Below are 23,881 nucleotides of genomic sequence, written 5' to 3'. Positions count from 1 at the left end.
TAGGCGGATCTCAAGGTCAGGAGTTGGAGAACAGTCTAGCCAATATGGTGAAACCTCATCGCTACTAAAAATACAAAAATTAGCCAGGTGTGGTGGCGGGCACCTGCAGTCCCAGCTACTCAGAAGGCTGAGGCAGGAGAATCACTTGAACCCTGGGCGGCGGAGGTTGCAGTGAGCCTAGATAGTGCTACTGCACTCCAGACTCCAGCCTGGGTGACAGATCGAGACTCCACCTCAAATAAAATAAAAAAAAAGAGAATTCCATTATTTACTTGCTGTGGGTAATACAAAGAAGAAAACTGTCTTTGATTTGAATAGTTCACAATCTAGTTAGCAAGACCCTGTCTCAAGCAGATTTGATTTAAAGTCGTATTATATAAATAAAACTTTATAATACTATCTCAATATTTTACCAATATCAAATGTCTATGTACCTTCTCAATGTGTGAATTATTTAAAACAAACCTAAAAACTAGAATTGAGCTTGCCGGGCGCGGTGGCTCACGCTGTAATCCCAGCACTTTGGGAGGCCGAGGCGGGCAGATCACGAGGTCAGGAGATCGAGACCATCCGGGCTAACATGGTGAAACCCCGTCTCTATTAAAAATATAAAAAATTGGCCAGGCATGGTGGCAGGCGCCTGTAGTCCCAGCTACTCGGGAGGCTTAGGCAGGAGAATGGCATGAACTCGCGAGGCGGAGCTTGCAGTGAGCCAAGATTGTGCCACTGCACTCCAGCCTGGACGACAGAGCAAGACTCTGTCTCAAAAAAAAAAAAAAAAAAAAAAAAACAAAACTAGAACTGAGCTAAACATGTATGCATGTGATTTAGAAGCAGGAAGGCTCTTGTTCTTGTAATCTGCTCCCTCCTGCTACAGGTTTGGAATGACTAGAGTTCTTTGACCTTCAGGTCATGGAAATAAGAATCATCCATTTCGTTGGGCACTTGCCCGGGGAAGAAGCCAGGTTAAAATGGAAAATGGGAATCATTAGAGGCTGTGTTGTAGGGGATTTTAATTTCTGAAACAGTAATCAAAATTGTAATTTGGAAATTACAATTGTAAAGGGCTTAAAGGTAAACAAAAGAAATAAAAAGTTATAAGGATAATATTCAAACTCATTCATTTCTTTTTATTATTTTAATTAAAAATCAGAGTTATATTAACCAATACCAATATTCATTCTCTATAGTAATCCTTAAGAATTTATTTTCTTTGACAATGGCTAATACACCATCTTTGGGAATTTTTTGCTTTTTTTTTTTTTTTTTTTTTTGAGACGGAGTCTCGCTCTGTTGCCCAGGCTGGAGTGCAGTGGCGCAATCTCGGCTCACTGCAACCTCCGCCTCCAGGGTTCACGCCATTCTCCTGCCTCAGCCTCCTGAGTAGCTGGGACTACAGGTACCCACCACCATGCCCGGCTAATTTTTTGTATTTTTAGTAGAGACGTGGTTTCACCGTGTTAGCCCGGATGGTCTCGATCTCCTGACCTCGTGATCCACCCGCCTTGGCCTCCCAAAGTGCTGGGATTAAAGGTGTGAGCCACCTCGCCCAGGCAATATTTTTAAATTAAAATAAATAGAATGGGCTGTGCTCAGTGGCTCACGCCTGTAATCCTAGCACTTTGGGAGGCCGAAGCAGGCAGATCACCTGAGGTTGGGAGTTCAAGACCAGCCTGGCCAGCATAGTGAAACCCAGTCTCTACTAAAAATACAAAAATTTGCCAGCCATGGTGGCAGGCACCTGTAATCCCAGCTATTCGGGAAGCTGAGGCAGGAGAATCGCTTGAACCCAAGAGGCAGAGGTTGCAGTGAGCCGAGATTGCACCATTGCACTCCAGCCTAGGCAACAGAGCGAGACTCCATCTAAAAAAAAAAAAAAAAAATAGAATAAATAGAATGAAATGGAATGGAATTTGATGAAGTCAACTTCTAGATCTTAGGTCCTGTAGGAGAGAAAACCTGGATGTGCTAAACAGATCACATATTGTTCAAGTTTATACACGTAACAATTCCAGTGATGTAGATGGATAATATCTGCAAGGATACGTGCAAACATAGATGAGGCTAGATTTAAAGTAACACGAGTTTTAGATTAGGTAAAGCTTGGAATGCAAATAAAAACAAAAGTGGGAAGCAGGAAACCATAGTGGCTAAAATGCCAGGGTCAGAATCTGGCTTTAGTTTGAATTCAAACTCTGCCTCTTCCTGAAGAATCCTGAGCAAGTTACTTCATCCTTGTGTGTCTCTGTTGTCTGTAAAATAAGAATAAGAAAACCTACCTGCCTTGTGAGATTTCATATATAAAGCACTTGGCACAAGTAAATGTCCAGTTATAGCCTGGCACATAGTAAATGTCCAATTACAGAAAATGATCTATAACAAAATATAACTTTAAAGTTAAAATCTTATCACAATTTCTAATTTTTTTTTTTGAGACGGAGTCTCACTCTGTTACCCAGGCTGGAGTGCAGTGGTGCAGTCTCCACTCACTGCAACCTCCACCTCCTGGGTTCAAGCAATTCTCCTGCCTCAGCCTCCCGAGTAGCTGGGATTACAGGCACTCACCACCATGCCTGGCTAATTTTTGTATTTTTAGTAGAAATGGGGTTTCACCATGTTGGCCAGGCTGGTCTCGAACTCCTGACCTCAGGTGATCCACGTGGCCACCTCAGCCTCCCAAAGTGCTGGGATTACAGGCATGAGCCACTGCACCCGGCCTCACAATTTCTAATTTTTTTTTTTTTTTTTTTTTTTTGAGACGGAGTCTCGCTCTGTCGCCCAGGCTGGAGTGCAGTGGCGGGATCTCGGCTCACTGCAAGCTCCGCCTCCCGGGTTCACGCCATTCTCCTGCCTCAGCCTCCCAAGTAGCTGGGACTACAGGCGCCCGCCACTACGCCCGGCTAATTTTTTGTATTTTCAGTAGAGACGGGGTTTCACCGTTTTAGCCGGGATGGTCTCGATATCCTGACCTCGTGATCCGCCCGCCTCGGCCTCCCAAAGTGCTGGGATTACAGGCGTGAGCCACCGCGCCCGGCCAATTTCTAATTTTTAAGAGGTTAAGTTGTAGACTAGGAAGATCAAAACATGAGAATAATAGTTATTATTTATTGAGCCAAACATAGCAGCAGGCACTTTGTTTACCTAGTCCTAATTTTCACATTACATGTGGTATCATAATCTCTATTTTATAGATGAAGAAACTGAGGATCAAGTCAGAGAGGTTGCAAGTGACTCTAAAACCCAATCCCTGTTCACTATGCCATACTGCCTCTAAAGAGTTGTGATACAATCACATTAAGCTGTAAATAAAACTGATTTTTTTTTTTTTTTTGCGATGGAGTCTCGCTCTGTCGCCCAGGCTGGAGTGCAGTGGCGCGATCTCGGCTCACTGCAACCTCTGCCTCCCGGGTTCACGGCATTCTCCTGCCTCAGCCTCCTGAGTAGCTGGGACTACAAGCGTCCGCCACCACGCCCAGCTAACTTTTTGTATTTTTTTGTATTTTTAGTAGAGACGTGGTTTCACCGTGTTAGCTAGGATGGTCTCGATCTCCTGACCTCGTGATCTGCCCGCCTCGGACTCCCAAAGTGCTGGGATTACAGGCGTGAGCCACCGCGCCGGCCAAGGACTTCCTGCCATTTCTAGAGGAGGCGTACTGCAAGATACAGAGAGGCTTTTCAAAGGTAGAGAAATGAATTATTACCTTTGGGAGGGGTCAGAAAAGTTATTAAGAAGAGTTATTCAATAAAATGGTAACAAGATACAGAGAGGCTTTTCAAAGGTAGAGAAATGAATTATTACCTTTGAGAGGGGTCAGAAAAGTCATTAAGAAGAGTTATTCAATAAATGGTAACATGTGGCTTAAAAGAGTTGTCATTCACATTGGATCAGCAAAATGAATCACCAAAATATTGCATTCACTTTAATTCACCAAATGATGAATAGTAAGCATTATGCTTTTTATTTTTATTTATTTATTTATTTTTGAGATGGGGTCTTGTCATGTTACCAAGGCTGGTTTTAAAACTCCTGGGCTCAAGCAATCCATCCACCTCAGCTTCCCAAAGTGCCGGGATTACAGGTGTGAGCCACCATATCCAGCCATGTTTTTTAGCTACTTTGTCATATATCTTCTTTAAACAACTTAGTGCTGTACATGGACATTCAAATAGATACACCAAATAAATTAGGAGATTTATTTTTCTCCCTCTTTTTTAAAAATAAGGAGCAAGTTTTATTTTCTTAAAGACCTAAGTTTCCTTGAGGCTGGAAAAAACCACTTTAGGGTTCCTTTGAGATAATCTCCCTCAAAATACTTACGTGGTATTTTAAAAACACACAACTAATAAGAAAAAGAACCCAATGAAAAATGAGGAAAAGATGCAAAGATATACAAATGGCAAGTAAGAACATGAAGAAATGCTCAATATATCATTAAGCATTAGGAAAATGCATTTTAAAGTCAATATGAGATACTAGGGCACACCCACTAGAGTGGCTAGAATTAGAGTCTGACAATAAAAAGTGTTGACAAAGATGTAGAACAACTGGAACTCTTAGTTACTGCTGGTGAGAATACAAAATGGTTTTTGCATTCTGTACGGTCCAGCCCTACGGGGCTTTGTGGGTGTTCTCCCCATGTGCGGAAATGAGAGATCATAAGAAATAAAGACACGAGACAAAGAGATAAAGATAAAACAGCTGGGCCTGGGGGACCACTACCACCAAGACGCGGAGACTGGCAGTGGCCCTGAATGGCTGGGCACACTGATATTTATTGTATACAAGACAAGGGGGCAGGGTAAGGAGGGTGAGTCATCTAAGTGATTGATAAGGCCAAGCAAGTCATGTGATCGTAGGACACGGGGCCCTTCTCTTTTAGGTAGCTGAAGCAGAGAGGGAAGGCAGCATACGTCAGCGTTTTCTTCTATGCACTTATCAGAAAGATCACAGACTTTAAGACTTTCACTATTTCTTCTACCATTATCTTCTAAGAACTTCAAAGAGGAATCAGGAGTACGGGAGGAACATGAAAGTGGACCAGGAGCATGACCATTGAAGCACAGCATCACAGGGAGGGGTTTAGTCCTGCGGATGACTGCGGGCAGGCCTGGATAATATCCAGCCTCCCACAAGAAGCTGGTGGAGTAGAGTGTTCCCTGACTCCTCCAAGGAAAGGAAGACTCTCTTTCACGGTCTGCTAAGTACGGGTGCCTACCAAGGCACTGGTGTTACCACTTGACCAAGGAGCCCTCAAGCGGCCCTTATGCGGGCATGACAGAGGGTTCACCTCTTGCCTTCTAGGTCACTTCTCACAATGTCCCTTCAGCACCTAACCCTATACCCGCTGGTTATTCCTTGGTTATATTAGTAATACAACAAAGAGTAATATTAAAAACTAATGATTAATAATGTTTATGCTAATTATTGATAATGTCCACGATCATCTCTATATCTAATTTGTATTATAACTGTTCTTATTCTAACTATTTTATTATACTGAAACAGTTTTTGCCTTCAGTCTCTTGCCTCGGCACCTAGGTAATCCTTCACCCACAGCATTCTCACCAGCAAACCAGTTTGGCAATTTCTTATCAAGTTTCTTGTAAAGTTAAACATACAGTTACCATACAATCCCTCAATCTCACTCCTAGGTGTTTGCCCAAAAGAAATAAAAACGTGTCGGCGGGGCACGGTGGCTCACACCTGTAATCCCAGCACTTTGGGAGGCCAAGACGGGTGGATCATGAGGTCAGGAGATCGAGATCATCCTGGCTAACACGGTGAAACTCCGTCTCTACTAAAAATACAAAAAATTAGCTGGGCGTGTTGGCGGGTGCCTGTAGTCCCAGCTGCTCGGGAGACTGAGGCAGGAGAATGGTGTGAGCCCAGGAGGCGGAGCTTGAAGTGAGCCGAGATTGTGCCACTGCACTCCAGCCTGGGCAACACAGCAAGATTCCGTCCCCCCCCCAAAAAAAAAAGAAAGAAAGAAAAATGTGTCCACACAATAGCTGGCATGAATGTTCACAGCAGTTTTATTCACAATAACCCAAAGCTAGAAACAACCAGATGTTCAAGAATGGGTGAAGGTATAAACACATTGTGGTATAGCCATACGATGGAATACTACTCAGTAATAAAAAGGAATGAATTAAATAGACCCACACAAATATGCCCCACTGATTTTTTTAATTCAACCAGAGCCTTTTCAGAATTTTTTGTGTCTTAATTTTTTAGTTTGTTTTATTTTTAGTGATGGGATCTTGCTATATTGCCCAGGCTAGAGTGCAGTGGCTATTCACAGGCAGAATAATAGCACACTACAACCTCAAACTCCTGGGCTCAAGCAATCCTTCCACCTCAGCCTCTTGAGTGGCTGGGACTTAGGTGAGCCCCACCTTGCTCACCGTGCCCTACTTATTTCTGACAAAGGTGCAAAGGCAATTCAATAAAGGAAGGATTGCTTTTTCAACAAATGATGCTGGAGCAATTGGACACTTACAGGCAAAAAAAAAGGAAACTGAACCTCGACCTAATTCTTATACCTTACAAAAAAATTTACTCAAAATGAATCGTGAACTTAAATGTAAAACTACAAAACTTAAAAGAAACATGAGGGAAAATCTTTAGGATGTAGGGGCAGACAAAGAGTTCTTAGACTTGATACCAAAAGGACAATTCACAAAAGGAAGGGCTGACAAACTGGATATAATCAAAATTTAAAACTTTTGTTCTGTTCAAGACCCTGTGAAGATGATAAAAAGACAAGCTAGAGACTGGAAGAAAATATTTGCAAAACATATCTGATGAAGGTTTAGTATCTATAATATATAAAAGATTCTCAAAACTCAACGGTAAGAAAAAAAAATCCAGTTAGAAAAATGGGCAAAAAGATGTAAACAGACATTTCACCAGACAGGATTAACAGATGGTGAATAAGCACTGAAAAGATATTTAACATCATTAACCAGCAGGAAATGCAAATTAAAACCACAATGAGCTATCACTTCACAGCTACCAGATTGGCTAAAATAAAAATAATGACAAAATCTAATGCTGGTGAGGATGCAGAGAAACTGGATCACTCATACATTGCTGGTGAGGATGTAAAATGATACAGCCACTCTGGAAAACAGTTTGGTAAATTTTTACAAAACTAAATATTGTAGGCCAGGCACAGTGGCTCACGCCTGTAATCCCAGCACTTTGGGTGGCCGAGGCAGGTGGATCACTTGAGGCCAGGAGTTCCAGATCAGCCTGGCCAACATAGTGAAACCTTGTCTCTACTGAAAATACAAAAATTAGCTGGGCGTGGTGGTGCATGCCTGTAGTCCCAGCTGCTAGGGAGGCTGAGGTGGTAGGATCGCTTGAGAGCCTAGGAGGTGGAGTTTGCAGTGAGCCGAGATCACACCACTGCACTCCAGCCTGGGCAACAGAGCGAGACTCTGTCTCAAAAAAAAAAAAAAAAACCTAAAAACTAAAAACTAAACATCCAATTACCATATGACACATCAATTTCACTCTTGCACATTTATTCCAAAAAAAAACCTATATTCACAGAAAAACTTATGTTCACACACCAAAAAAATGTTTATAGCAGCTTTTAAAAAAAATTATTTATTTATTTATTTATTTATTTATTTATTTTGAGATGGAGTCTCACTCTGTTGTCAGGCTGGAGTCTGGTGCTGCAACCTCAGCTCACTGTAACCTCCACCTCCCAAGTTCAAGAGACTCTCCTGCCTCAGCCTCCCGAGTAGCTGAAACTACAGGTGCATGCCACTACACCCGGCTAATTTTTGTATTTTTAATAGAGACGGGGTTTCACCATGTTGGCCAGGATGGTCTCAAACTCCTATAGCAGCTTTATTTGTAATAATCCTAAACTGGAAACAACCCCAGTGTCCTTCAACCGGTGAATGGTTAAATAAACTTAGATATATCCATACCATGAAATATTATTCAGAATACAAAGGAACCAACTACTGATACTTGCAGAAACCTGGATGAATCTCCGGAGAATTATGCAGAGTGAAAAAAGCCAACCCCAAAAGGCTACATACTGTGATTCCATTCATGTAACATTCTTAAAATGACAAAATCCTAGGAATGGAGAACAGATTAGTGGTTACCAGGGATTATAGAGAGGATGGGGTAGAAAGGAAGGGCTGTAGCTTTGAAAGGGCAATATGAGAAATCCCCATGGAAATATTCTGTATCTTAAGTGTTATCAATGTCAGTATACTAGCTGCGATTTTATACTATAATTCTGTAAGACATTACCATCGGGGGAAACTGGGAAGAGTGTACATGGGATCTCTCTGTATTATTGTGCTAAGTGAAAAAAGTCAGACAGTGAATACTACATACGGTATGATAATTTTTTTTTTTTGAGATGGAGTCTTGCTCTGTCACCCAGGCTGGAGTGCGGTGGTGCAATCTTGGCTCACTGCAACCTCCACCTCCCGGGTTCAAGTGATTCTCCTGCCTCAGCCTCCCGAGTAGCTGGAGGAAAATATCAGGAATAAATTTTTTAAGAACTGAAGTACAAAGCAACTCTCAGAAACCTAATTCTTATGTTAATGAATTCAGAAAGCAAGACATAGGAATTACTCTACATAGTAGGTATACTCAATAAATATGATAAAATTTGGTGACACATCACTTCAGCAGTTTTCCTAGCCAGGCAAAAAGGTAGCATGCTGATACGGTTTGGCTCTGTGTTCCCACCCAAATCTCATCTTGAATTGTAATTCCCACATGTAGAGGGAGGGAGGTGATTGGATCATCGGGGCAGTTTCCTTCATGCTGTTCTCGTGATAGTGAGGGAGTTCTCATGAGATCTGATGGTTTTATAAGTGTTTGGAAGTTCCTCCTTAGCACCACTTCTCTCTCCTGCTGCCTTGTGAAGAAGGTGCCTGCTTCCCCTTCCACCATAATTGTAAGTTTCCTGAGGCCTCCCCAGCCATGTGGAACTGTGAGTCAATTAAAACTCTTTCCTTTATAAATTATCCAGTCTTGGGTATTTCTTTATAGCGGTGTGAAAATGGACTAATACATTGGCCTACTGAAAAAAGACGCATTATACTAGATCACTTAGGAGATGCCCTAGAGTCATAGAATCCACAAAATGTATACAAATTAAGTAACAATTTTAGAGCTACTTAGGTCACTACTGGTTAAGATTAGGTTTGACTGCCAATGACAGAAATCCCAAATAAACTGGAGCTTAATTACATAAGGTTCTATTCATTAAAAATAACTATGCAGAGGTCAACCATTTAGGGCTAATCTGGCATTTGCAAGTGGTGAGATCCCCAGACTCCTTCAACTTTGCTGCTCCCCTCTCCTTCCTGTGCTGCTTTGTCCCCAGTTGGCTGTCCAGGCTCTTTACCGTGTCCACATTCTGGCCATCAAGAAGGGGAAGGGACAAAGCAGGATGCTTTGCTTCCCTCTGAGGACACTTCCTGGAAGTTTCACATGAAACGTCTCCTTACATCTCTTTAGCCATCACTTAATTGCATGGCACACCTAGCCTTGCAGGAGGCTGAGAAATGTGGTCTTCATTTTAGGTAGCTATGTGTCCCGCTGAGTATTAGAAATTCTATTAATAATAATAAGTATATTGGAAAAAAAACTTGTAGACTCTTCCACAGGCCATATTTATATTTTCTTCTTCAAAGTTTCTCAAACCTCTATCTTCTTGTAAACTCTGAATGAGAAATATGACTTTTCTATAAAAGTCTAAAATAATCAAATGCTCACTAATTGATTCATCATTCATGTAATAAACATAAACACTATTTTTGCAAGAAACTACTAGGTGCCAAATTATTAAGACAAGGATGCTGTGGAGGGAAAAAAACATTTCATTATTAAGAGAAATAAAAAAATACTCCATGCTACAGATACTTCATAGTGTGAAAAAAGAAGAGAAAGAAAAAAAACCCTTATTATTTATCTGTAATTTTAAACTTCTATAAAAATGATCTGTGCAGCAAGAGATGAAATTTTGAGATTAACACTAGGTTTTATTGTTTATATAAACTTTTGGTTATTTGGATATTTTTCAGAAAACACTTGAGGCCAGGTGCGGTGGCTCATGCCTGTAATCCCAGCACTTTGGGAGGCTGAGGCTGGCAGATCACCTGAGGTCAGGAGTTTGAGACCAGCCTGACCAACATGGAGAAACCCCGTCTCCACTAAAAATACAAAATTAGCCGGGCGTGGTGGTGCATGCCTGTAATCCCAGCTACTCGGGAGTCTGAGGCAGGAGAATCGCTTAAACCTGGGAGGCAGAGGTTGCGGTGAGCCCAGATCATGCCATTGCACTCCAGCCCGGGCAACAAGGGCGAAACTATGTCTCAAAAAAAAAAAAAAAAGAAAAAAAATACACTTGAAAGTGATATTTGCATTTTATTTTATTTTGTTTTGTTTTTGAGACAGGGTCTCACTCTGTCACCCAGGCTGGAGTACAGTGGTGAGATCATAGCTCACTGCAGCCTTGATCTCCTGAGCTCAAGCAATCCTCCCAATTCAGCCTACCAAGTAGCTAGGACTACAGGCATGTGCCACCATGCTTGGCTCATTTTTTTTTTTTTTTTTTTTTTTTAATTTTTAGTAGAGATGAGGTCTCCCTATGTTGTCCAGGCTGGTCGTGAACTCCTGAGCTCAAGCAGTCTTCCTACCACACCCTCCAAATTGTTGGGTTTACAGTTGTGAACCACCATGCCTGGTCAATATTTGAATTTTAATAGCCCTTTTAAAATGTATGTCTTGAGTCTGTGCCCTGAATCACGTAAATACTTCAAAAGAAAATCATGTCTCATTTATTTTCACTATAAAATAATTGGATTATGCAAGTCTCCTTTTACACCCTATCTTATTTCATTCCTAAGCAAATCTATCCAGGGTCTTTGGTAGAGAAATGAACATAAAGAAAATTTACTGGCAACACATGCAGTCCCAGCTACCTGGCAGGCTGAGGTGGGAGGATCACCTGAGCTCAGGAGGTCGAGGTTACAGTGAGCAGTGATCGCGCTACTGCACTCCAGCCTGGGCAACAAAGTGAGACCCTGTCTCAAAAAAAGAAAAAAAAGGAAAATAAAATTTACTCAGTTTTTCTTAATAAGAAACATTTCCTTGGCTGGTCTGAAGTTAGTGAGTTATCTCAATTGATTTTTCACAGTTACAGATCAAACTTCCTTGTTCTACTCTTTCTCCCTTCTCACTACTGCACTTAAATGGTCTTAAAAAATTAGAGAAATAAATACTTCTTGGGTTTAAATACTTGGAAATTTCTGGGTTTAAATATTTAGAATGTGTTTATCAGTGAATTTCATTTATTCATGTTATTATCATATGTAGCATTATTAATAACCTCCAAAATGCTATCTTCGTCTTAAAAAAATCCATTTACTTATTCATTATTCTTCCATTCAACCAGTCTTCACCAATTACCTATAAGGAGGTGGCTAATATAGTTGGCCCTCCATATCCACCAGTTCTGCATCCATGGATTCAACCAACCAAGAATCAAAAATGTTCAGAAACAAAATTGCATCTGTACTGAATATGGACAGACTTCTTTCTTGTCATTATTCCCTAAACGATACAGTATAACAACTATTTACATAGTATTTACATTGTATTCATTACTATCAATAATATGGAGATGATTTAAAGTATATGGGAACATATGCATAGATTATATACAAATACTACACCATTTTACATAGGGGACTTGAGCATCCATGGATTTTGGTATCACAGAGGAGTCCTGAACCAATCCCCATGGATACTGTATACTTGTCCCTTCACCCCAAATGTAACTCTAAGGTAGCCCAGAAGTGTCTTTTTTTTTTTTTTGCTTTCATCTTTTCAAACTCAATACCTGTAATTTCTGGCATTTAAACAGCTATTCAATAAACATCTATTCAACGACCATGTGAATGAAAGAATGCATATGGTTTTTCCAGAACCCAAATCCAATGATAGTGTTGTTTTTTAAAAGACATAATATTCCAAGGTGTCATCAAACATTTTACTGACATTCTTGCATCCCCTGGTTCTGATATTATTTATTGATTCTTCTAGAAAGGCCCATGAGATGTTCCAGCAAAGAACAGTAGAATGTCATAACCAAGACCTCATCAGGAAATGTGCTCTCTATTCTGTCTCTTTCCAGTAGGTATTATTAGGTGCTTTCCCTGGATTTGGTATTCCCTTTATTCTCAGGTCAAGTCCAACAGCCACTTCTCCCTGACCTCTGACTCTCAAATAACTGTAATAAAACAATCAAACCTTCTTTGTCAGCAGCTCGGGGTTAACTGTTCTTTCTAAAGCTTGACCTTCATACTGTCTCCAATCCCTGCTCTCTCATATCTACAGATGCTGCCTACCTTATATATTTTCACTTATTTATGCTGCTTGCATGCATAAGCTATTGCTAGGTGCTACTGCTGTGACAGGAAAGTCACAAAAGAAAGGTGATCTCATCCTGTAGATTGCTTAGAGCTTTTGACAAATAGTGCTTCATTTAGAGAAAGTTCAGCACATGTATCCTGTTCTTCTGTTAGTTATCAATTAGGATGGTCCTATGGTTTTTACTCAGTTTTTAATTGTCCTAGCCTGAAGCCTACCAAATGTATTAGCCTGACTGAAAAATCCATGTTTAACAAATAAGTGAGGCATTAACTGTGTGAAAATTAATCATGTCAAAAACATGGATCTGATTTACCCAGAATAACCATCTCATTTCTTATAGAGTGAGTTTGGATTGTGTTTCTTATCAGTCACTGGAATATTGAAATATTTCAGGGATTCCTGAGGATTTCATGGCTAAGAAAGTGTGGTGAGTCCTCCTAAAAAATAGTTTTAGGCCAGGCAAGGTGGCTCATGCCTGTAATCCCAGCACTATGGGAGGCCGAGAGAGGAGGATCACTTGAGCCCAGTAGTTCCAGACCAGTCTGGGTAACATAGCAAGACCCCATATGATTAAAAAAAAAAAAAAAAAAAAAAACCCAAAAAACCAAACTAAAAATAGTTTTAAGTTGAAGGCAATTGTCCCAAATAAGGACCAAGGAAGCTAGAATACAGAAATTCTGCTCTTAGGTCCAGGAAAAAATGTGTATCAGGCCCCAGGAAAGCTGCCAGAAATTCACATTGCCTTTATTCCTTTTCCAGATACCTGTTTTGCTGGGGGTTGGAGGGTGGGGAAAAATTTTTTTCTACTGATATATATATGCATCCTTACTGTATTTTAAACCTTTAATGAATTCCAGTGTTCACTGTGCTTATTCTTGAGTGTTCAGGACTGAAATACAGGCTAGAAAGGGACAAATTCTTCTGACCTTTTCATGTGGTGATGCCTTTTTGAATTGTAAACTGATCATTTTTGAATTGTAAATAAGCACACTTTTGAAACTGTGAGCTCCCCCTGCCGCTACCCGCCTCAAGGAGTTGTCACGTGGTGGCAAGCTTCACTGGTTGAACAGACATGTAATACCTGTACCTTTTCTTATTTTTCTTAAAATGTATGAGTACCTCTACAGAAGTGATTTCTGAATTGAAACAGAATTTCTGGTAAGTATATACACCAGCACCGCCGGCACGGTGGCTCACGCCTGTAATCCCAGCACTTTGGGAGGCTGAGATGGGCGGATCACCTGAGGTCAGGGGTTCGAGACCAGCCTGGCCAAAATGCCGAAACCCCATCTCTACTAAAAATACAAAAATTTGCTGTGTGTCATGGCGCACACCTGTCATCCCAGCTACTTGGGAGGCGGAGGCAGGAGAATTGGTTGAACCCAGGAGGTGGAGGTTGCAGTGAGCCAAGATCGCACCACTGTACTCCAGCCTGGGCAACAGAGCAAGACTCTGTCACAAAAAAAAAACCCAAAAAAAACCAGCACCTTTATTTCTGTACCACTGATCTCAACAGTAACTTCCAAAAGCTATTCCTAATGCTTAACATCAAATTATTTACCTTTGCTTACAAAATGTAAAAATATAATACAGTACAAAATATAATTGACTGAAGACTTAAGGGTTAAGATGTTAAAACGGTGTCAAGCTAAGGTTCTTGCTATAACCTTTCCCTTTCCCATCTTCCCATTAAAATATCATGAGTTTTTGAAAAACAAGAGTCAACCATTTGCAAGAGTCTGGGTGGAATTTCCACTGACTACAGTGTAGAGGAGGCCAAACTCAGAAACTCTACCATGGATACTTTATCCTCTGAAAAAGAAAAGCAAAGTTGATAGGAAAGAATTTAATCCTTCAAATTATTATTCAATCAGAATTTACAAATCCCAGAGAAGGCACAACAGAAATACAAAGGCCTGGCAGGTGGCTGGTTAAAAACTGTGGTGGGCTGGGCACAGTGGCTCATGCCTGTAATCCCACCACTTTGAGAGGCTGAGGCGGGAGGATCACTTGAGCCCAGGAGTTTGAGACCAGCCTGGGTAACATAGCAAGACCTCCATCTCTACAAAACAATTAAAAATTAGCCAGGCATGGTTATGTTTGCCTGTAGTCCCAGCTACTCAGGAGACTGAGACGGGAGTATCACTTGAGCCCAGGAGATCAAGACTACAGTGAGCTGTGATAGTGCCGCTGTACTCCAGCCTGGATGATAGAGTGAGACTGTCTCAAAAACAGAAAGAAAGAAAAGGAAAAAAGTGTGATGGATAGTCTCCTAGAATAAAGAGCTGCTGATAAGGGAGCATGCGGAAACACACTGACAGCTGACAGTGTTCAAGTGTGTAGTTTTTCCATTTATAATCACAGCTGATTAAAGAACCATAGATAGCCTCTGATTCTTGACAACATAAATTCCCCTCACTGCAGACAACTGGACAATTGGGTCAGGGGAAGATCTTGTCATGGCATCCGCTCAACAGGCGATAAATGTAAATGTCAGCTGGATTCCAGAATTTGGGCAAGAAAGTATGTACTTGCACCCCCCTACAACTTTAGATCGGTTTTCAAGAGAACAGTAAAGAGAAGCAGAGGAAATTTTATCTGTTGGTTGGCCAACTTGGAGACTGGAAATCTCCCTCATTGACATATAACAGAAAAACAATCACCACCACAACATAACAGCTACCAAAAATTCTGGAGTACAAGGAAATAGGACACCATCTGAAGAGTCTAAGGAAAAGCGGGTATCTGAAAACGATTACAGGAAAATAAGAAAACTTTAGAAAATGTCTGTTTGTGATCTTAACAAGGTGTGAGGACATGCGGTATCTATCAAAGAGTGAACTATATGGTAAGGATGTAAGGAAACTAAAAATTTAACTGCAAAATTTAACATGCAGTGAAGAAAGCAAAATTGACTCTGGTGATAACCACATCAGTAATTTGTAACATGAATGAGTTTTTGTAGGGAACCTTAAACTCTCCATGGATAGTTGGTACTCATAGCTCAGATTTCTTAAAGCATAATTTGCTTACCTCCATTAGCCCTTACCTCACTGTGCTGCACTGTAACTGTATTTAGTGTGTCCCTGCCCCTGGACTGTGAGCTCCTTTAGGGAAGGTCCATGACTTATCCAACTTTATCACCAGCGACTAGCATGATCTCTGACCAGTGAGTCCACATTAAGTGCTTCATAACATGTATGAAATGAGACCTCACAGTCAGCATGGCTTTCCTTCTTTCCTTTTCTTTTTTTTTTTTTTCTAAAGAGACAGGGTCTTGGCCAGGCACGGTGCCTCACTCCTGTAATTCCAGCACTTTGGGAGGCCGAGGCAGGCGGATCACGAGGTCAGGAGATTGAGACCATCCTGGCTAACACGGTGAAACCCCGTCTCTATTAAAAATACAAAAAATTAGCCGGGCGTGGTGGCGGGCACCTGTAGTCCCAGCTACTCAGGAGGCTGAGGCAGGAGAATGGCGTGAACCCGGGAGGCGGAGGTTGCAGTGAGCTGGGATCGCGCCACTGCACTACAGCCTGGGCAACACAGCAAGACTCCGTTCTGGAAAAAAAAAAAAAAGAGAGAGAGACAGGGTCTCACTGTGTTGCCCAGGCTGGAGTGCAGTGTGGCTATACATAGGCGCGATCCCACTAAGGATTAGCACAGAAGTTTGGATCTGTCCCATTTCTGACCTGCACAAGTTCACTCCTCCTTAGGCAACCTGGAGTTCCTCCGCTCCCAGGAGGTCGTCATGTTGATGTTAAACGTAGTGCAGACACCCAGTTGGCATAGCACACAATAGCCCAGAACTCCTGGGCTCAAGCGATCCTCCCACAGCATGGCTTTCTTGTTTTTTGAAAGCAGGATTCAAAAGAACCCAGTCTGTCACCAAAATACCATAGAACACAGGGCTAGAGTCTGCAATGTAGGAATCGAGTTAATAGGTATGGGTTTAAAACACTTTTTTTTTTAAGAAAAACAAGGCTAACATAGTAGAAGATGGTATCAAATAAAGTAAAAAGTAAAGTAAGTAGTGAGACTATTAAATGTATTTAGAATTAAGTGAGGAAATATTACTTTTCTAAGGTCATTCTGAGAGGTGACAGTGTGCTGGCAGCCCTCACAGCCCTCGCTCCCTCTCAGTGCCTCCCTGGCCTTGGCGCCCACTCTGGCTGCGCTTGAGGAGCCCTTCAGCCCGCCGCTGCACTGTGGGAGCCCCTTCCTGGGCTGGCCGAGGCCGGAGTCGGCTCCCTCAGCTTGAGGGGAGGTGTGGAGGGAGAGGCGCAGGCGGGAACTGGGGCTGCACGCGCACTTGTGGGCCACCGCAAGTTCCGGGTGGGAGTGGGCTCGGTGGGCCCGCACTTGGCGCAGCTGGCCGGCGTGCAAGCCCCAAGCAGTGAGTGGCTTAGCACCTGGGCCAGCAGCTGCTGTGCTCGATTTCTTGCTGGGCCTTAGCTGCCTCCCAGCAGGGCAGGGCTTGGCACCTGCAGCCCGCCATGCCTGAGCCTCCCCCGCCCCACCGAGCACCACTCCCTGCTCCACGGCGCCCAGTCCCATCGACCGCCCAAGGACTGAGGAGTGCAGGTGTATCCGTGCAGGATCTACTGGGTGAAGCCAGCTGGGCTCCTGAGTCTGGTGGGGACTTGGAGAATCTTTATGTCTAGCTAAGGGATTGTAAATACACCAATCGGCACTCTGTATCTAGCTCAAGGTTTGTATACACACCAATCAGCACCCTGTGTCTAGCTCAGGGTTTGCGAATGCACCAGTGGACACTCTGTATCTAGCTAATCTAGTGGGGAGGTGGAGAACGTTTGTGTCTAGCTCAGGGATTGCAAACGCACCAATCAGCACATTGTCAAAACAGACCAATCAGCTCTCTGTAAAACAGACCAATCGGCTCTCTGTAAAATGGACCAATCAGCAGGATGTGGGTGGGGCCAGATAAGAGAATAAAAGCAGGTCTGCCCAAGACCACAGTGGAAATCCCCTTGGGTCCTCTTTGGCGCTGTGGAAGCTTTGCTCTTTTGGTTTTTGCAATAAATCTTGCTATTGCTCACTCCTTCGGTCCACGCTGCATTTATGAGCTGCAACACCGCGAAGGTCTGCAGCTTCACTCCTGAAGCTAGCGAGGCCAGGAACCCACCAAAAGGAGGAAACTCCGAACATCAGAATGAACAACTCCAAATGTGCCGCCTTTAAGAACTGTAACACTCACCGAGAGAGTCCGTGGCTTCATTCTTTTAAGTCAGTGAGACCAAGAACCCACCCATGCTGGACACAATTCTAGAAGTCAACAGAATAGTTGAGAATACTTATGTTTTTCTTTATTTTTTCTTTTTGAGATGGTGTCAGTCTGTCACCCAGGCTGGAGTGCAGTGGTGCAATCACAGCTCACCACAGCCTCAACCTCCGAGGCTCAAGTGATCGATCCTCCTGCCTCAGCCCCCCAAGTAGCTGGATTTACAGGCACATACACCCAGCTAATTTTGTGTATTTTTTGTATTGACGGGATTTCACCATGTTGCCCAGGCTGATCTCCAACTCCTGGGCTCAAGTGATCCATCCACCTCACCCTCCCACAGACCTGGGATTACAAGCGTGAGCCACTGCACTTGGCCTGTATTTCTTTCAACTGCCTTTTATCAAAAGATCAGTTTCCCTTTCCTTACTCTCATTTTTCCTCCCCTTTTCTTTCATTTAAAAAAAAATCTTTCCCATCTTTTAGATTTGCCAATTACTTTCACGGACATTATAGTGCTAGCTGTTTTAACAGATAAACTCTCAATTGCGGCGGCCTAAAATAGAAGTTATCCCTCAGTAAACTCCAAAATGATTGGGGCAGGCTTTCATAGGCTTCCAGGGACCCAGGCTGTCTTCATTTTATGACCTCACTGCCTCTAAGCCCTGGGAATCCTCTCCATTCAGCCGGAAAAACAGGAATGGAATGAACATTCAAACAGGGAGATTTTTATGGGCCAGGCCTGCAAGTGGAGCACATGCCTGCGGTCATACCCCATTAGCCAGCACTCAGTAACATGGCCACATGTAATTGCAAAGGAGAATGGGCAATGGAGTCCAACTGGGGCAGCAAGAGGAGAAAAATGGGTTTGGTGAATAGCTAGCTTGTCTCTGCTACTAACTGCAGATTATTTCAACAACAGATATACATGATCTGGTGTACTACATGTAGGTAGCCCTTTCCTTACTTTCTCATGAAATCATTGCAACAACCATTATAATGGGATTAGAAATTGGTATGTCCAATTCAGAAACCTAAGGTCACACAGTTCTGAATGACAAACCAAGATTTAGTCCCTGTTCTGCTGCAAAACCTTCTGCAATATGTTGGATTTCTCCAAATAAAACACAGTGAAGTGAAATTATAGCCTGACAGAATTGTGATTACACTTAAAATATCATATAACTGCCACATCATCAACAGAGTCCATCCTTGGAGATGTTTTCCCAATTGGAGGGATGGACTTGTGCTAATTCACTTAAACTCTTTCCCATTTTAGTGTTTCATTTTTGAGACAGGGTCTCGCTTTGTTGCCCAGGCTGTAGTGTAGTGACACAATCACAGCTAACTGCAGCCTCTACCTTCCGGGCTCAAATGATCCTCCCACCTCAGCCTCCCCAGTAGCTGGGACCGCAGGCACATGCCACCATGTCCAGCTACTTTTTGTATTTTTTGTAGAGAAGGGGTCTTGCCATGTTGCCCAGGCTGGTCTTGAACCCGTGGACTCAAGCTATCTGCCTGCCTCCCAAAGTGCTGAGATAATGAGAGTGAACCACTGTGCCTGGGCTTTTTCTCATTTTAATGTATAGCATTATATATTGATGTATAGCTTTGAAGAGATCATTGCAGTCCCCTATAGAGGAATGAATCAATATTCACCCTCATCACTCATGTCTCAGCACTAAGAAACACAAATAGGCATTTCTATTTCTAAAAGATACTTTAAAAATATGGTTTCTTTCTGCTACTGAAGTTTCCTAAAAATCAAAAAGAAAATAGTTTCATTTTATCTTTACAATCTTTTGAACACTAGAGATATCAATCAGATATATCCATTTACAAATGAATAATAGCTAGGTTACTCTAAGAAATATATGTATGTGTATATTCGTTTAATCCTCAGCATCACCTGATGAGTTAAGTGTTTTTGTTGCCAGTATTTTATTGCCGTGGCTATCAAAGCACATAGAGGTTAACCAACTTGAGTGAGGTAAGAGTTGCGCATTGAAGAAAATACAGGTCAGGGTATTAGTGAAAGTCTCCAGCAAAGTTCCCAGGGTTCATAGGTTCTATTTATTCTGCTCTGTATGCCACAGGTTATTCCTTATTTCTTAAAAGATCTTTTCCTCAGGGCTTTCATAACATCCCGTTCCTTTCTTGCAGCTTCATTATATCTTTATTGTGCAGACACATTGACTTGAGTATGTAAAACCTAACAGTGCCTATTGTTGCACTAAAAAATGCCTTGCTATTAAAGCATGAGGCAAAAGCCTAACTTAGCTGTTTCCTGAAGTAAATCCATATTTATACAGAAAAACCCCTTAACTTCCTCTAAAACAAAAGGCATATACTCTACATAGACATATATTTGAGACATTAAAGAAACATCAATTTCCATTTTAAAAAAACGTTTAACTTAGTATCCTCTGTCAAATTTCTGGTGCCTACGAAAAAACTGTAAAAAAAATAGCTTTTGAAATATTACTCATTTTAAGTGAGTCACGCCCTAAAAGAATTTACTTGGGAGTCAAAGCTAGTTGACCCTAACATCTCAGAAATAAAACTCCAATTTGTTTATCCATTTAACCTACCATGAGTCTGTGATTTGGCAACTTGTGAAAAGCAACAACAAAAAAACCCACTAAAATATAACTGGTCACTGGAAACCCTCTTTCTGGTCTGTACTATCTAAATGCCAGCTGTCATGTCAGGCAAAAAGTAATTTGTAGAGCAGCCTTGTGGTCCACTGTATTATGTAGGAAAGACAATGTACTGGAAGAGCGAGGACTCAATCATTTCGTGTCTACTACTGAGAAACTAAATTCTGTAGAGAACATGAGGCTAAACGGAGGCTCTGGTCAGCTCAATAAAGATACGTTGGAAGAATCAATGGGGAGTTTACACAAGAGTAAAATGAAGAGTTCCAAGCTCTCTCATTGCTAACCGTACACTCTCCATGGCTGTTGCAAGTGGTTTTGCAGGTCATCCAAGCACTAATCTTTTCTTAGCCCGAACACATTTAAAGAGGGAAGGGGCAGAGATCATTCACACTGTGAATGTTTCTCTCTGAACTTCCTGAAGTCAACTGGGCGGAGGCCCTACCGGTTCAGGCACCTGCAATTTCCGCCTTTCTCCTTCCCCTTCTTCCGGGCTCCCGTCCCGGCTCATCACCCGGCCTGTGGCCCACTCCCACCGCCAGCTGGAACCCTGGGGACTACGACGTCCCTCAAACCTTGCTTCTAGGAGATAAAAAGGTAATGATCGTCATGTGCAGTATGAGGTCTTCACGTGAAAGCTTTATTTGGGTAGGAAAACCTAGCCTACGAGAAACGGGTCCGTGCGGTCACGCCTGACTGCCTGTCTCCGGGTCAAGGCTGCCAGGACCAGCTCCAGCCCTCCGCCCGAGAAGGCTGTCCTTTCCCCTCGGAACTCTGGCTTCCCTAAAGCGGCCGCGCCTCCTTCCAGGCCTCACCTCCTGCCGGCTCCGCCCGGCCCGGCCCACCTCGCCCCCACCTCGGCGCCCACCCATTGTCCCCTCGCGCAGTCACCGAGCGCAGATCCCGCGCTCTCGATTGGAACGCCTCCCCATCACTCAGCCACACTCAGGGGCTGGACGCCTCACTCCCGTTTCCGAGCCATAAAAGGTCTAGGACCGCTTCCCCCGAGCCAGCAGGTAAAGCCGCGGCGGCGGGAGGGAGGCCGGGAGGGGCCGCGCGCCCCGGTCGGCCCAGCCGGGGAAGGGGAGCGGCGGGCGGGGCGGGGGGCAGCGCACCACACACAACCCTCCCTTGCCGTGCGACCGCGCCCTGCCCCCGCCCCGGGGCCCCCGCCCCGCAAGTCCTGATCACAATGCCGGAGCCGCCGAGCCACCCTTGTCATCCTGCCCGGGGACGGCCCTGGGGCAGTTACTACCGCGAAGCACGGAGGGTGGGGCGGGCCGGGCCTCGGGGAGGGGTGGGGGGATGTGAAAGGTCCCGGATGTTGCTGAACGGGAGCCCCTTCCAGAGGGAGTGACTGGGGCAAGCGCAGACGGGCTGAGCGAAAGCTAAGGTGGGGGTAGGGAGAGAACGCCTTCCCGCCGGCTGAGAGGAAGAGTGGGCCGGCAGAGGCTGCAGGGGAGAGGGAGAGAGAGGGCGTTGGGGACCCAAAGGGAAGGCGAGGAGTGGGGGATTTGCGTTGGGGAGGAAAAGGAAAAAAGCAGCCTCCTGCCCTAGGTGCACTCGGGACAAGCGTAGAGGAGCTGGAAGCCGAGCGGGGTGGGAGGAGTGGCGGCTGCGGGCGAGGACGCGCGCGCCTCCGCTCGCCCTCCAGCGCGGGCGGGCAGGACGAGCGCCGGGGAGCGGCGGTTACGCGGGGCCCCGATCGCTGTGGGCACCAATCAACGGTTGCCATAGCAGCGTTTGACGTCATCGTGCGTGTGGTGCCCCTGCTGCCGGGGCTGGTGATTGGAGGAAACCCCGTGTCTGCGGAGCGGCTGTAGCCTGTGAGCAGCGAGATCCAGGGACAGAGTCTCAGCCTCGCCGCTGCTGCCGCCGCCGCCGCCCAGAGACTGCTGAGCCCGTCCGTCCGCCGCCACCACCCACTCCGGACACAGGTGAGGAACCCGGCCGCCGCCGCGCCTCGCTTCCTGTCCCAGGCCAGCCTTCCGAACGCGTGGGAGCCGTCCTCGCTCCGTCCCCTCATCCCCACTCGCCCCGCGGTGGCGGCGCCGGGCTGAGGCGGAGTCTCCTCAGCGGACACGGGCGGCGGCTCCTCTTCCGCTGGGCTCGGGAGGGCGGCTAGCGGCCGCCTCCGGCTCCTTGCTTCCGCATCGACGCCCCGGCGCCGATCGGTGCTCGCTCCCCCGTCCTGCCCCCGGGGGTGGGTAGGGCGCCCACACGCGAGATCCCTGGGGATCTCCCTGTCGCCGGCTCCCGAAGGTGGACGAGGCATGGCCGGGGCGCCGCCGGCCGCGATCCATCCCCACCCTTGTCTCTGCGGGCTTCCACCCCCTCCCTCGCCGCCCTTCTCGCTTCCGCCCGAGATAATGACTCGGCGGCGGCGGCGGCGGGCATCGCAGTGGCGCAGGTGAGGCCGCCCCCTCCCCTCTCCCTCGGCCGCCCCCTCCTTTCCCTCCCCCTCGCGCAGCCTCCGCGCTGGGCGCTGCGGCGGCGGGACCCGGCCCTCCCCCACCCCGGGAGGCGGTGGCGCGGCGGGGAGGGGCCGGGGGCCTCGGGGACCCAAGCGCGAGGGAAAGGCCTGGCCGAGAGCGGGCCGGAGCCCAGGCCTGGCGCGGCGGCGCCCGCCAGGTAGACCGGGGCGAGGCTGCGCGCCGGCGGGAGGGGAGTCCACTGCGGGGTGAGGTTTTGGGGTGGGGCTCGCCTGGGACCTAGAGCTGAATTTCCTGGGCTCCGCGGTGGGAGGAAGGACTTGAATTTTCCTGGTGGGGGTGGGGGATGGGTCTGACTTTTTTTGCTCCTTGTGAACGGGCGGGGGAGGTGTGGACGGGGGCTGCAAGTCCAGGTCGGGGTAGAGAACAGGGTGGTGAGCCCGCAGTCGGCTCCCGTGCTTGATGGACTAGAACTGGAGGGTCCCTGCGCTCGGTTTGGGGACGCATATCCTGCTTTGGGGGCGGGTGAGCCTGAGCATAGCCGCTGGTGGCCCGCTCGGCTGGGTGTGGCTCTCGTCCCCTCCCCCACCTGCAGCTGTCGGTCCCTTAGAGACGCTGTACACGGTCACCGGCGCTGATCGGTGGCGGGGAAGGCGCTGGGTGGGAGAGCGGGGTGTGTCCGCGGCGGGGCTGGTAGTGGTTCCGCTTCTGCGGGCTGCTGTGGCGTCTCTGCCCCGGGGTCGGGCGGCTTCGCTCCCCATCTCTCCCCCCCCCCCACGGCTTGGGCGGGGGCGCGGGCTGCTCCTCCCTCTGGCTCCGGTCGGGGGGAGGAATTAACACTCTGCAGTAGGTTGGGCTCCCTGACACAGATCCGCCATGACAAAGGAGGAGAGTCGGGGACTTGAGCCGTGGCTCCGACTTGGGCGGAGCCTGGAGGGGGGTGGTTGCGATACGCGGACCGGAGAATTTGCACTTTAAAGTCCGGGTCTGCCCGTTTTCGTTTCACAGTAACCGACGTCTCAAGTCAGGTAAGGGTTAAATGGGTGCGGTGAGTCCTGCCCGCAGTGTAGAGGCGAGGCCTTGGAGCACTCGTTACTGTGTGAGAAACCTTATCCACTTCCTCTTGTAC

At 45.6% G+C, this 23,881-nt stretch overlaps 1 protein-coding gene and 1 pseudogene across 10 annotated transcripts in view, besides 12 other annotated features; one reads left to right on the top strand and one right to left on the bottom strand.

The window, feature by feature from the left end:
- Positions 16,006 to 16,303, bottom strand: RN7SL685P (RNA, 7SL, cytoplasmic 685, pseudogene; annotated as a pseudogene).
- Positions 16,860 to 17,361: an enhancer, noted in NCBI's record as "H3K27ac-H3K4me1 hESC enhancer chr8:101969053-101969554 (GRCh37/hg19 assembly coordinates)". NCBI's record gives its function as "activates a minimal SCP1, AML or CMV promoter by ChIP-STARR-seq in naive H9 embryonic stem cells {active_cell/tissue: H9 hESC(naive)}" and the evidence as "EXISTENCE:reporter gene assay evidence [ECO:0000049][PMID:30033119]".
- Positions 20,682 to 20,811: an enhancer, noted in NCBI's record as "active region_27725". NCBI's record gives its function as "activates an Ori minimal core promoter by ATAC-STARR-seq in GM12878 lymphoblastoid cells {active_cell/tissue: GM12878}" and the evidence as "EXISTENCE:reporter gene assay evidence [ECO:0000049][PMID:35858748]".
- YWHAZ (tyrosine 3-monooxygenase/tryptophan 5-monooxygenase activation protein zeta) overlaps positions 20,804 to 23,881 on the top strand; it is a 36,860-nt gene continuing 33,782 nt past the window's right edge. Inside the window, exons 1-3 of one of the 10 annotated variants that reach the window (XM_005251061.4) lie at positions 20,804 to 20,917; positions 21,129 to 21,336; positions 22,061 to 22,257. The gene's annotated coding sequence lies outside the window, so the exon portion shown is untranslated. Of the gene's footprint in view, positions 20,918 to 21,128; positions 21,337 to 22,057; positions 22,731 to 22,873; positions 23,001 to 23,614; positions 23,781 to 23,881 lie in introns of those variants that run through there. The other 9 variants (XM_017013811.2, XM_017013810.3, NM_003406.4 and 6 more) reach the window with 9 other exon arrangements.
- Positions 20,822 to 20,931: an enhancer, noted in NCBI's record as "active region_27724". NCBI's record gives its function as "activates an Ori minimal core promoter by ATAC-STARR-seq in GM12878 lymphoblastoid cells {active_cell/tissue: GM12878}" and the evidence as "EXISTENCE:reporter gene assay evidence [ECO:0000049][PMID:35858748]".
- Positions 21,072 to 21,751: a silencer, noted in NCBI's record as "silent region_19428". NCBI's record gives its function as "represses an Ori minimal core promoter by ATAC-STARR-seq in GM12878 lymphoblastoid cells {active_cell/tissue: GM12878}" and the evidence as "EXISTENCE:reporter gene assay evidence [ECO:0000049][PMID:35858748]".
- Positions 21,072 to 22,069: a biological region, named in NCBI's record as "OCT4-NANOG-H3K27ac hESC enhancer GRCh37_chr8:101964345-101965203".
- Positions 21,211 to 22,069: an enhancer, noted in NCBI's record as "OCT4-NANOG-H3K27ac hESC enhancer chr8:101964345-101965203 (GRCh37/hg19 assembly coordinates)". NCBI's record gives its function as "activates a minimal SCP1, AML or CMV promoter by ChIP-STARR-seq in naive H9 embryonic stem cells {active_cell/tissue: H9 hESC(naive)}" and the evidence as "EXISTENCE:reporter gene assay evidence [ECO:0000049][PMID:30033119]".
- Positions 21,772 to 22,031: a silencer, noted in NCBI's record as "silent region_19427". NCBI's record gives its function as "represses an Ori minimal core promoter by ATAC-STARR-seq in GM12878 lymphoblastoid cells {active_cell/tissue: GM12878}" and the evidence as "EXISTENCE:reporter gene assay evidence [ECO:0000049][PMID:35858748]".
- Positions 22,262 to 23,031: a silencer, noted in NCBI's record as "silent region_19426". NCBI's record gives its function as "represses an Ori minimal core promoter by ATAC-STARR-seq in GM12878 lymphoblastoid cells {active_cell/tissue: GM12878}" and the evidence as "EXISTENCE:reporter gene assay evidence [ECO:0000049][PMID:35858748]".
- Positions 22,262 to 23,787: a biological region, named in NCBI's record as "H3K27ac hESC enhancer GRCh37_chr8:101962627-101963486".
- Positions 22,928 to 23,787: an enhancer, noted in NCBI's record as "H3K27ac hESC enhancer chr8:101962627-101963486 (GRCh37/hg19 assembly coordinates)". NCBI's record gives its function as "activates a minimal SCP1, AML or CMV promoter by ChIP-STARR-seq in primed H9 embryonic stem cells {active_cell/tissue: H9 hESC(primed)}" and the evidence as "EXISTENCE:reporter gene assay evidence [ECO:0000049][PMID:30033119]".
- Positions 23,222 to 23,301: an enhancer, noted in NCBI's record as "active region_27723". NCBI's record gives its function as "activates an Ori minimal core promoter by ATAC-STARR-seq in GM12878 lymphoblastoid cells {active_cell/tissue: GM12878}" and the evidence as "EXISTENCE:reporter gene assay evidence [ECO:0000049][PMID:35858748]".
- Positions 23,422 to 23,641: a silencer, noted in NCBI's record as "silent region_19425". NCBI's record gives its function as "represses an Ori minimal core promoter by ATAC-STARR-seq in GM12878 lymphoblastoid cells {active_cell/tissue: GM12878}" and the evidence as "EXISTENCE:reporter gene assay evidence [ECO:0000049][PMID:35858748]".

This window comes from Homo sapiens, chromosome 8 (assembly GCF_000001405.40).
Source record: "Homo sapiens chromosome 8, GRCh38.p14 Primary Assembly".
Classification (NCBI taxonomy): Eukaryota; Metazoa; Chordata; class Mammalia; order Primates; family Hominidae; genus Homo; species Homo sapiens.
The sequence above is the reverse complement of the archived record's forward strand: the minus strand, read 5'-3'. Positions and strand labels throughout refer to the sequence as shown.